The following is a 13,612-nucleotide window of genomic DNA, read 5'->3' as shown; positions in this document are numbered from 1 at the left end:
TTGCTTGAGCTCAGGAGCTCGAGACCAGCCTGGCCAACATGGCGAAACCCCACCCCTACTGAAAATACAAACATTAGCCACGGTGATGCACACTTATAGTTCCAGCTACTCAAGAGACTGAAGTGGGAGAATTGTTTGAACCCAGGAGGCAGAGGTTGCAGTGAGCTGAGATGATGCCACTGCACTCCAGCCTAGGTGACAGAGTGAGACCCCATCTCAAAAAAAAAATGTTAATAAATAAACAAATAGAGACAGGGTCTCACTATGTTGACCAGGCTGGTCTCGAACTCCTGGCCTCAAGGGTCCTCCTTGCCTCAATCTCCCAAAGTGCTGAGATTACAGGCATGAGCTACTATGCCTGGCCTCAGTTTTTATTGATAATATCAGTTAACCTTTATTGAGAGTTTACTAAGTGCCAATCTCTGAGCCAAGGGCCTTCCATGCATTATCTCACTGAATCCTCTCAAACCTCTATGAAGTAGTTACTGCTTTTTAAAAACCCTATTTACAAAAATGGGGCCTTAGAGAGATAAAGCAACTTGCCCAACTGCTGTTGAGTAGAAATCTTAGATGTGAATCCAGACAGTTAGGTATTTTCTCAATTAGGGTCACAATAAAGTAGGTAGGTTCTAGACTTGCCCCAGGCACTCCTAAAACCCCAGAGGACACTGATAGAAGCATTGCAACTGTGGGACTGAGTCAGTCCCAAAGTCACATCTCAAGAGGCTGTTCCAGTTCCTGAAAATGTCTTCCATTAACAGTGCTGCAATGAAGATAAGTGTATTGTAATTCGAAGTTCTCCTGAAATAAGATAACTCTAATAGCAGGGAAGGGCCGCCAGGCTGGCACCAGCTTTGAAGTTACCAAATCCGCCCATGATTCAGTCCACAGGCTGAGTTCTCAAGAACCTTTCCAAGTGGCAGATCTGCTGACTGTGGCATTAAAAACTGGAAGGCGGCCTGCGAGAAGATAGAATGCAATAGTACAGTCACCTCCTTGCTTCACTCTTTTCCCCTCCACCTCAGCAAGCAGTTCCAACCCAATCCTTTCCATGAGAAATCACTGTCCAGAGTGAAGGAGGGAATGGTGCCCAACCTGGTGAAATGGGGGCATGGGAAGGTGGGGCCGTGATAGAGGCAGGCTCTGTCCTGAGGGAGAACAGCACACAGATGAATAGGAAGCCAGCAGAGAGCGTCTTCAGAGCCAAATCCCCACCTCTTTTCCCTTGGCTCTCTCCTCCAGTTTTCCTCCCTCCAGCCTGATCAAAACCTATCCTTAAGAAATCTAATTCAAGCCTCACCTGGAGCACCAAAAAATAAAAAAATAAGAATTGAATCGGCTGCCTCACTGTAAACCAAAGTCAGAAAGTAGCCCACGTCAGGGCCAGATGCAGTGGCTCTCACCTGTAATCCCAGTACTTTGGGAGGCCAAGGCAGGCGAATCTCCTGAGGTCAGGAGTTCGAGACCAGCCTGGCCAACGTGGTGAAATCCCGTCTCTACTAAAAATACAAAAATTAGCCGGGCATAGTGGTGTGCACCTATAGTCTCAGCTACTCAGGAGGCTGAGATAGGAGAATTGCTTGAACCTGGGAGGCGGAGGTTGCAGTGAGCAGAGATCGTGCCACTGCACTCCAGACTGGGCAACAGAGCAAGACTCCTCCATTTAAAAAACAAAAAAAAAAAAAAAACAAGAAAAACAAACAAAAAAAAACCCAGAAAGTAGCCCATGTGGGTCCTGTACTCTGTTAAAAGCAGCAGTCCCCACCCTTTTTGGCACCAGGGATTGGTTTTGTGGAAGACAATTTTTTCCATGGTTTTGGGATGATTCAAGCACATTATATTTATTGTGCACTTTATTTCTATTATTACATTGTCATATATAATGAAATAATTACACAATTCACCATAATGTGGAATCACTGGGGAGCCGTGAGCTTGTTTTCCTGCAACTAAACAATCCCATCTAGGGGTGATGGGAGACAGTGACAGATCATCAGGCATCAGATTCTCATGAGGAGCACGCGATCTAGATCCCTCTCATGTGCGGTTCACAATAGGGTTCATGCTCCTGAGAAAATCTAATGCTGCTGCTGATCTGACCAGAGGCTCAGCTCAGGCGGTAAAGCAAGCGAAAAGGAGTGGCTGTAAATACAGATGTAGCTTCACTCACTCGCCTGCCACTCACCACCTGCTGTGTGGCCAGTTCCTAACCAGTACTGGTCCATGGCCTGGGATTTGGGGACCCCTGTGTTAAAGAACTTTTAAGAATCAGTGAGCAAGTGAAGGGAAATAGAGCATCTTGTTTAGAATTGTTTCCTGACTTCTTAAAATGTGTAAAATAAATAAATTTTGGAGGCCGGCAAGTCATCCTCAGGACTCTAAAACTGCACCCTCTGTTGGCCCAGACTGTGGGCCAATGGGCCACAGTGAGTTAGACAGAACTTCTGAGCAAAGGGTCTTCATGCGCTGAAAGATTTCAGGCCTGGCCTAGCATGGTGGCTCATGCCTATAATCCCAGCACTTTGGGAGGCCAAGGCAGGAGGATTGCTCGAGGCCAGAAGTTCAAGACCAGCTTGGGCAACATAGGGAGACCCTGTCTCTACCAAAAATTTTAAAAACAGGGCATGGTGGTGCACATCTGTGGTCCCAGCTACTTGGAAGCTGAGGTGAGAGGATCACTTGAGTCTGGGAGTTTGAGGCTGGAGTGAGCTGTGATTGTGCCACTGCGCTCCAGCCTGGGCAATGCAGTGAGACCCTGTCTCAAAAAAAAAAAAAATTCAGGCCTGTGAGGACTAAGCCCTGATTTTTTATCTTGCCCAAATTCCTACCTAAGGGGTCTAGGGAGTCATGCCCTACAAACCATAAAATATCATCAGATGGGTTTTATTTGACCCTATATATTGTGACTTACTTCTCAGTCTGACTCTGGCATAACATTATGAAACAAGGAAAAGATATTTAACCCCAAAATGTATTTCCTTGCCATACCTTGAAATTGCCCTACAAGGTCTCCTGTGGGAAAAATACACATCCTATGGAGATCCCCTTTCCCCTTTGTTTTTCTTCCTTTCTTTCCAGATCCAGGAGATAATCAGCTAAGAGCCAGGTGCCCTTTTAGGTCTGATAAGAAACATTTTACAAGATACTCTCTCTGTCTCTCTGAAGTCTGCTATCTGACGTATTCTTCTGTGCAATGAAACTTGGTCTCCACAATTCTTTATGTTAACCTGAAAAATCGTTTCCATTGATCCCAGGTCTTCAGATAAACTCAACCAATTATCAACCAGAAAGTGTTTAAATTTACCTATAGCCTGGAAGCCACCCCCCTTGAGTTGTACTGCCTTTCTGAACCAAACCATTGTATTCTGAAATGTATTTGATTGATGTCTCATGCCTCCCTAAAATATATAAAACCAACCTGTACCCGACCACCTTGAGCACATGTTCTCAGGACCTCCTGAGGGTTGTGTCATGGGCCATGGTCTCCATTTTTGGCTCAGAATAAATATCTTCAAATATTTTACAGAGTTTCACTCTTTTCATCGACACCTGCATGGGCCCTAGGCTGTAGAATGTGTGAAGCTAACACTAAACACTGTACCATGTTCCCAGGGGCTCCCTCTCTGCCCCTACCAGTGATTTTTTTTTTTTTTTTTTTTTTTTGAGATGGAGTCTTGCTCTGTCGCCAGGCTGGAGTGCAGTGGTATGATCTTAGCTCACTGCAACCTCCACCTCCCAGGTTCAAGAGATTCTCCTGCCTCAGCCTCCTGAGTAGCTGGGATTACAGGCGCACACCACCATGCCCGGCTAATTTTTGTATTTTTAGTAGAGATGAGGTTTCACCATGTTGGTCAGGCTGATCTCGAACTCCTGACCTCATGATCAGCACGCCTCAGCCTCCCAAAGTGCTGAGATTACAGATGTGAGACACCGCACCCGGCCCCTAGCAGTGATTTATAAGCCTAACTTATAAACCTCCAACCCAGGTCCCAGAACAGTAGATTACTGGCTCCACCAATTGGAAGGCATGATGTACCTTTCTGGGCCACAGAGCAAGAGGTCTAGATTAAGCCTTCCCTGCTGCTGTGGACTGATATGTGCCCCTTTCTCCCAAAAAATTCATATGTTGAAGTCCTAACCCCCTGTGTGACTTTATTTGGAGTAAGAAAGTAATTAATGTTACATGAGGTCATAGGATAGAACCCTAATCAGATAGGATTAGTCTCCTTATAAGAAGAAACACCAGAGAGCTTGCTCACTCTAGCGCCCTCTGCCCTTTGAGGACACAGGGAGAAGGTGACAGTCTGCAAGCCAAGATGAGAGCCCTCACCAGAAACTGAACTGGTTGGACCCTTTATCTCGGACTTCCAGCGTCCAGAACTGTGAGAAAACAAATGTCTGTTATTTAACTCACCAGGTCTGTGGTATCTTGTTACAGCAGCCCAAGCCGACTAAGTCATCTGCCTACTCTCTAATGCCTCAACATTTATATATGGAGGGTTCAACTGAACGGATACACCTCTAGGCCCACTCGTACTCACACCACATTTCTTCCTATTATATATCTTTTATTCTACAGAAATGTACACAACACTGCTTTTTTCCGTATGCCATTGCTCCTTTGCCATGATTTGGATATTGTATCACAAATGAGACAGATTCTGTGTGACAAGAATACTTGGAAGATCCAGGTACACCATGGGGCCCTGGAAGCAGCAGACAATCTTCTTTTGTGACCTGTCTTGGTCTCAGGGTCTCATCATAAAGGAGGTTAGCTTGAGGGAGCTCCATTAAAATGATCATGTTATTTTGGGGTGGAAGGATAATATTTTTTAACACCCTTCTACAAATTAGCAGGTTAGCTGGCTCCCTCTGAGGAGATTTAGATAAAGAGATTATATTTAATGAGGGGAAAGAAGATTCACAAACCCCAGGTAGGAAAGTTTAGGGACCAGAGTTGACCTCAACCCGTGGACTGTGAAGCTGAGATCAACAAACCAGAATGGCTGACTTGACAGTTTTTTCTTTTCGTATCTTCCAGAAGATAGAAAACGACAATGAAATACTTGATGCTGATACAGCACAAGCCTTGGCAAAGGTTAATAATCAATTGTAAAGCAGTTAAGATAAAACCTTAAATTATTAACTGGTTATCTTGGAATTTAAGGAGCAAGGCCCCAGGGATATGACACCTGATTAGTTATGTATGTGTGAGCTGGGGCCAGGGTGGGGAGAGTCGCAGAAAGAAGTGGTCACAGGAGGGTGCCCTATTAGAAATGGTTGGGCAGAAGAGGGTGGGGGTGGGGGGAGTGAGCAGACAAAAGAGGCTGGAGAACTCTGTTGATTGACAAAGGTACCTATATCAGTGTTGTGCCTTGGGGTAGCCATGGTGCTGGACGTTAATCACAAAGATTACTGTCCTTTCCGAACTGGTATATAACCAACTGCTTAGGAGAGGGGGCTACAAAGAGACCACTGGAAACAAAGGGTCTTTCTTTGAAATTGTTATGAAGTGTTATCAGATTTGTGTTCAGTGTATTATCCAATCTTAACCTTCTGCCTCATTAAAATGTTAAGCCTTTGGAAATGTTTTAGGGTCACCGTATGTTCTGTAGAATTACAAGATGGCTCTGTTGTCTAGTGGCTCCACCTTTATCACCTTGGTGATTTTCAGGAAGGCAGGCCCCCAAATCACTCAGCGTAGTCTCAATGGCTTTTTCTTTAGAGCCCATTGAAAATTGCTGGGGTTTCCTCTGCCAAAAATAGCTATTCATATATATCTGAATAACTTATGACTGTGGTTTATATTTAAAGAAAGCATTTCAATACTTTTTTTTATTATTTTCTAAGAGTCACGAAATCTGCCTTGTGGCTTTCTGAGCCACAGGGCAGCAAGCTAAAGGTAATAGAAGATGACACTGGCAATATGTGCAAGGACAGAGGTTGCAGAAGCCTGTTAAAGAATCAGAAATCCCTCCTTGTTTTTGGGCATGTGACTGTGAGCTGTTGAAGCAGAAATGAGATGCTTGATAGTTAGAGCCGATTTCACCTTCTTGAGCATGGAGCAAAGGCTGGGGCCAGGTTTACAAACACAACACAAAAGAAGAACCTCTTGCCTATGTTGTGGTGCTATGCTGTGAAGAATTTTTCAGTGGTCAGTTGTTGGTTGTCTCTTGTAGCCACATTGTTTAGGGTGACATTATTTATATGACCTTGATTACATGAAGTAAAGATTAAGAGAACTATAAAATGTTTAGAGATTCATCCAATCCAACCCTTTTAATTTACAGATGGGGAAACTGAGGTCCAGAGAAGGATGTGATTTGATGTGCCTGTAGTGGGTTGAATAATGTCCCCCTAAAAGAGATGTCCAAGTTCTAATCCCTGGAACTTTAAACATTATCTTATTTGGAAAAAGCGTCTTAGCAGATATAATTAAGCTAAGGGTTCATGATAAGATTATCCTTGATTTAGGGCAAACTACATCCAATGGCAGGTGTTCTTGTAAGAGAAAGGCAGAGGGATATTGAACACACAGAGACGCAGAAGAGAAAAAGTGATGTGAAGATGGAAGTAGAGATGGAATTAGGTAAGCCACAAGGCAAGGAATGCCTGGAGCCACCAGAAGCTGAAAGAGTCAAAAAGGAGGGAATATTTGGAGAGAGTGTGACTCTACCAACACCTTGATATCAGACTTCTAGCTTCCAGAACGATGAGAGAACAAATTTCTTTTGTCTTAAGCTACATGTTTATGGCAATTTGTTACAGCCGCCCTAGGAAACTAACACAATGCACAAAAGATAGAACCAGGCTAGAACCCAAATCTCTGGACTCCCTCAGTCTTGTGTTTCCCTTCCTCCATTTCACATGCTCTGAGTTCTGATCTCGTCAAAGATGTAAAAAGCATTCACACTCCTTGCTGTTAAGAACACAACTTCTGAAATGAAGGCAATGAAGAACACTGCAGATGCTGCTGTTTCCGTGAGTCGAGGCTTAGCCCATCCAACAACTAAGCTTTCTGAGCTTGGAAGTAATAGATTTGACTGTGGTATTAAGCTTTAGGGAATCATGCCGAGATCTGGAAGAGGGAAACTGATAAAAAATAGCCAGAAAGGTTAGCCAATTGACTCCAACAAAATACACAGAAAGCAGATAATAATATCTACCTCACAAAGTGTTTATGCAATAAACAAGTATTTATTGAGCACACACTATAGATGCCAGACATTAATCTAGGCTCCTTGATCTCAGTGGGAATAATGGAATCTCATTTATATGCATTTAGCCTCTGCCACTGGCAGCATATAAATGCCAGACAGTATGGTTATGGTTATGGAAATGGGACACAAGGCCTGTTTGGTAATCAATGGTTTGAGCTGCAGGCATCCTTGTCATTGCCTAATTGCTCATGGTCTCCCCAGAATTGAAACAATGAGCGCCTACAAAGTCCTAACTGAAAAAAAGTCTAGGTCTGGTGAGCAGAAATCTTACTTGAGGCACCACAACAGAGAGTACACTGTGTAACTTTTGTGTCTTTCTCCAGATCCTTTCTCCCTTGTTCTCCATCTTGCTCTGACCTGTGTGGACTGTGTCACTAGGCTGCCTTGCCCTCTCGCTTCTGCTTGGGTTTAGCCAATGGGAAGCACTGGCAGGAGGTTGAATGCCTTTCAACCTATTTCCCCAGCTACCCCAGGGCTTGCTCAATGGACTCATAAATAATGTGGCCATGTAGCAGGGTTAGAAGTTATGCATCGGCTCTGCCATAGGGATTTCTCACCAAGGCTGATCTGGCTACTCCCATTGGTGATTGCTGAATCTACCTATAGCAAAGGTCAACGATGAGTCCCTAGTATGGCACGCTTTCTCAGCAGCACCAGACAGTCACCTGATGGCAGGTTGATTTCACGGCCCCCTAATGGAGGAAGGAGGCAGCAATTCCTCAGTGGACTTGACTCATTCTGGATATGATGCCTATTAATACTTCAATGTCCCATATCAAAAAGTAAAGGAAGACTATAGCAACACAGTTTAATCAGAACCATTAATAGTTCACAAACTTAAGAGTGAAGGTGTAAGTCATGCTGTAAGATAAAAACCAATTAGTTGAAGGGCTGACTGAGGGAATAGGGAATGTGAAATGGATAGGGGAAGAAGGAAATTATTAACACCAACTACTGCCTCATCACCAATTAAGAAATGAGATTTTGGCCAGGCAAAGTGGCTCATGCCTATAATCCCAGCACTTTGGGAGCCCAAGGCAGGCGGATCACGAGGTCAGGAGTTCGAGACCACCCTGGCCAACATGGCAAAACCCCGTCTCTACTAAAAATACAAAAATCAGCCGGGCGTGGTGGCAGGCCCCTGTAATCCCAGCTACTCAGGAAGCTGAGGCAGGAGAATTGCTTGAACCCAGGAGGCAGAGGTTGCAGTGAGCTGAGCTGAGATTGTGCTATTGCACTCCAGTCTGGGTGACAAGAGCAGGAGTCCATCTCAAAAAAAAAAAAGAGATTTTAGTAGCTAAACATATTTTTCCCTTGGTTTGTTTTATATATGTACAACTAATATATAGACTTTCTTCCCCTTCTCTGTCCTCTACTCTTTCATTTAGGGTGAGTTGATGGTAGCTAACCTCATAATTTAGTTTTTAGGTTACAGGATACCAAAGGAAGATTGTGACTGAAAAGGAAAAAGAAGGACCATCATAAAGAGAAGAGAAATGACTGGTAGGACTTTGGGTCTCCCCTTCCAAGGAAGATAGTGAGGGCATCTTCATTTGCATGAGAGATAGTCACAGAACTGAGGTGAAAGCATTATGCTGTCATTCTCATTGTTTGAAAATAAATGTGGGTAAAAGGCTATGTATGGATGCTGAGCACCTGAGGCAGTGAACTGCACCGGACTATCCACTAGCAACGCAGGATCTCTCTTCTGTGATCCCCCAAGAGTTAGATACTAAGAGCATTTCTTAGTATCTTTTGCTAACCATTTTCCATGCTAGATGCCATAAATGAGAGGTACTTCTGTGGGATTTGGAGAATGGAAGAGAGACAGAGTATTATTATATTCCCCCCTGTAGCAGTGGACAGATATATACACTTCAGCAGATACAAACGAAACTAGGGGCACAGCTATAAATAAGACAGAGGTTTAAAAGTTAATAAGATAATTCTATCAACAGCATTTAAAAACTTGAAGAAAAAGACCAATTTCTAGGAAAGTAACTTACTACATCTGGCTCAAGAAGAAATTGAAAGTCCCCCAAATCCTATTACTGTTAATTAAATTGAAGAAGTCATGAAAAATCTGTCAACAGACTTAACATTTTCACCTGTCAAAAATTAACTTACAATAATTCTCTTTCTGGAAAATTAGAAAACTGGATAAAATATATGAAACAGTGGCTTTCAGACATTGGACAACAGGCAACATATAACTATGATCTCTGAGAGAAAGAGAACAAATGAGGTGAGCCCTGGGATTGGCCAGTTTACAAAGACAGAGAACACCAGAAATCTGCAGAGGAATCTTTTTGAGTCTTTGGCTGAGAAGTAACTTATGTATACATCCAGTGAATCACCATGAAGCCGGGTAAAGGACCACCAGAATGTAGTAAACTAAACAATTTCTGGAGCTCACACAGGGCTGTGAGTAGTTTGTGTTACTACTAGCCAGAAGGATCATGCTTTGGTTAGTAAGCCCTGAAAGTTTGAAACTAACCCCAAGTAATTTTTTTTTTTGAACCAGAGTCTCACTCTGTCACCCCGGTTGGAGTGCAGTGGCATGTCTTGGCTCACTGCAACCTCTGCCTCCGGGTTCAAGCGAGTCTCCTGCCTCAGCCTCCCTAGTGACTGAGATTACAGATGTGCACCACCATGCCACGCTAATTTTTGTATTTTTAGTAGAGACAGGGTTTCACCATGTTGGCCAGGCTGGTCTCGAACTTCTGACCTCGTGATCCACCTGCCTCAGCCTCCCAAAATGCTGGGATTACAGGCATGAGCCACCATGCCCAGCAACATCAAGTAATTTTAACCACATGCCAGAATAATGTCAACACTCTAAAGAAATACCACAATATCAACACCTAATGATGTAAAACTCATGGAGTCTGGCATACAAGAAAATAATTACCAAATATGCAAAGAAGTAGAAAAATATAACCCATAATCAAAAGGAAAATCAATCAGTATAAATCTCAAAACTATAAGAAGATGGAATTAGCAGACAAGAACCTTAAGACAGCTAACATAAATATTATAAATATTCTTAAGAATGTAAAAGGCGGCCAGACACGGTGGCTTATGCCTGTAATCTCAGCACTTTTGGAGGTCAAGGTGGGAGGAATGCTTGAGCCCAGGAGTTTGAGACTAGCCTGGGCAACTTAATGAGACTCCATTTCTACCAAAAATTTTTAAATTAGCTGGGCACAGTGACATGTGCCTGTAGTCCCAGCTACTTGGGAGACTGAGTGGGGAGGATCAGTTGAGCCCAGGAGGTTGAGGCTGTAGTGAGCCCTGAACACACCACTACTCCCAGCCTGGGTAACAGAGTAAGCCCTTGTGTCAAAAAGAAAAAAAAATGTAAAAGAAAACATAAACATAATGAGAGAAACACAATATAAAAAGATATAAATGGAACTTCTAGAGATTAAAAATATAATATCCGATATAAAAAAATTAGACTGGGTGGGATTAACTGTGAACTTGAAGATATAGCAATATAAACTATCCAAAACGCAGTGTAGAGAGAAAAAGGAAAATGAATCAAACCTCAACAACCAGCTGGGCACAGCGGCTCATGCCTATAATCCCAGCACTTTGGGAGGCCAAGGTGGGCAGATCGCTTGAGCCCAGGAATTTGAGACCAGCCTGGACAACATAGTGAGACCTTTTCTCTTATTTTTTAAAAGAAAAAATATTTTAAAACTTAAAAAATTAAAAATTAAAAATAAAAACGAATCTTAACAAGCTGCAGGACAGCCGGGCATGGTGGCTTATGCCTGTAATCCCAGCACTTTGGGAGGCCGAGGCGGGCGGATCACCTGAGGTCAGGAGTTCAAGACCACCCTGGCCAACATGGCAAAACTCCGTCTCTACTAAAAATACAAAAATTAGCTGGGCATGGTGGTGCAAGCCTGTAGTCCCAGCTACTCTGGAGGCTGAAGCAGGAGAATCGCTTAAACCTGGGAGGCTGAGGTTGCAGTGAGCCAAGATCACACCACTGCACTCCAGCCTGGATGACAGAGCAAGACTTCATCTAAAAAAAAAAAAATTACTTGAACAAATAACAGTATACAATTTCCCCCCCACACACAAAGAAAGTCACAGAGGAGGTATATGATCTTGCTTTAGCAAGATCTGCTTTGCGTTTAGCTTCCCTGGGCCTCAGTTTTCTGATCTTTAATATAATGCCTATCTGATAAGTGCTTGGAGGATTAGCTTGTGATAGATGTAAAGCTCTTGGTCCAATGCTGAGTACTCAGTTGTTGCACATGAATGGAAGTAATGAATGTAAAATCCCCAACACCAGGCTTGGCAAAAAGTAAACACCTCAAAATGTAAATTATTGTTATCATTTCATCCCTTGTTTTCTTTCTTTGGTCTATATAGACTTAATTTCATTATAAAGATAAAATAGACCTTGAATGATTAAAAAAAAAATTATAGCCTGGGCAACATAGCAAAACCCCATTTCTACACACACACACAAAATATATATATATATATATACACACACACACACACACAAATATATATATGTATACACAAAATTTATATATACACAAAAATTAGCTGGGTGTGGTGTCAAGCGCCTGTAGTCCCAGCTACTGGGGAGTTAGGGGGCTGAGGCAGGAGGATCACATGAGCCCAGGAGGTTGAGGCTGCAGCGAGCACCACTGCACTCCAGACTGGGTGACAAAGCCAGAACTCGTATCAAAAACAAACAAAACTCAGCTAACCTCAAGCAGAATAAACATAATGAAAACACACAGAAAGGCAATCATAATCAAACTGCAGGAAATAAGTGATTAAAAAGAAAATGTTCAAAACAGCCAGAGGAAAAAAGGTAACTACAGCAGACTTCTCATCAGAAACAATGCAAGCAGAAGACAGCAGAGCAACATCTTTTAAAGTATTGAAAGGAAAACCTATCAACCTGGAATTCTAGTGTGTGAGTGTGTGTGTGTGTGTGTGTGAGTGACAGAGTTTTGCTCTTGTCACCCAGGCTAGAGTGCAGTGGTGCGATCTCAGCTCACTGCAACCCCCACCTCCCGAGTTTAAGTGATTCTCCTGCCTCAGCCTCTCGAGTAGCTGGAATTACAGCCACGTGTCACCACGCCCAGCTAATTTTTGTATTTTTAGTAGAGACGGGGTTTTGCCATGTTGGCCAGGCAGGTCTCAAACTCCTGACCTCGTGATCCACCCACCTCGGCCTCCCAAAGTGCTGGGATTACAGACGTGAGCCACCATGCCCAGCCTGGAATTCTATTTACAGGAGAAATATTTTTCAAAAACAAAGGCAAGGCCGGGTGTGGTGGCTCATGTCTGTAATCTCAGCACTTTTAAGAGGCCAAGGCAGGCGGATCGCTTGAGCCCAGGAGGTCAAGACACACTGGGACCCCTTCTCCACGAAAACTACAAAAATTAGCTGGGCATGGTGGTGCCTACTTGTAGTTGCAGCCACTCAGGAGGCTGAGATGGGAGGATCACTTGAGCCCAGGAGATTGAGGCTGTAGTGAGCCATGATGGAGCCACTTCACTCCAGCCTGGGTGACAGACCGAGACCCTGTCTCAAAAAAAAAAAAAAAAAAAAAAAAGTACAGATAAAGAAAAAGGACGGAAAAATACATGCCATAAAAACACTAATCAAAAGAAAGCTGGAATGGCTATAAAAATATCAAGCAGACTAGGCACAGTGGCCCACACTGGTAATCCCAGCACTTTGGGAGCCTGAGGCAGGTAGATCGCTTGAGCTCAGGAGTTCAAGACCAGCCTGGGCAACATAGCAAGACCTCGTCTTTACAAAAAATACAAAAATTAGGATGTGCCTATAGTCCCAGCTACTTGGGAGGCTGAGGTGGGAGGATCGCTCGAGCCCAGGAAGTCAAGGCTATAATAGGCCAAGATCGCATCATTGCACTTCAGCCTGGGTGACAAAGCGAGACCTTGTCTTAAAAAAAATGCCGGGTGCAGTGGCTCACCCCTGTAATCCCAGCACTTTGGGAGGCTGAGACAAGTAGATCACCTGAGGTCAGGAGTTCTAGACCAGCCTGGCCAACATGGTGAAACCCCGTCTCTACTAAAAATAAAAAAATTAGCCAGGTGTGGTGGTATGCACCACCACAGGTGCATGCACACCAGCTACTCAGGTGGCCGAGGCAGGAGAATCGCTTGAACCTGGGAGGTGGAGGTTGCAGTGAGCCGAGATCGTGCCATCGCACTCCAGCCTGGGGGACAATAGTGAGACTTCGCTCCCCCACCGCAAAAAAAAGAAAAAAAGACTATCAAACAAAGTAGATTTCAGAGCAAGAAATATTTCCAGGGATAAAAATGATAATTTCTTTTTTTATAATTTAATGTATTTTAATAGCAAACTTACAGGAACAGCACGG

This window comes from Homo sapiens, chromosome 15 (genome assembly GCF_000001405.40).
Source record: "Homo sapiens chromosome 15, GRCh38.p14 Primary Assembly".
NCBI lineage: Eukaryota > Metazoa > Chordata > Mammalia > Primates > Hominidae > Homo > Homo sapiens.
This window is presented reverse-complemented; position numbering follows the sequence as displayed.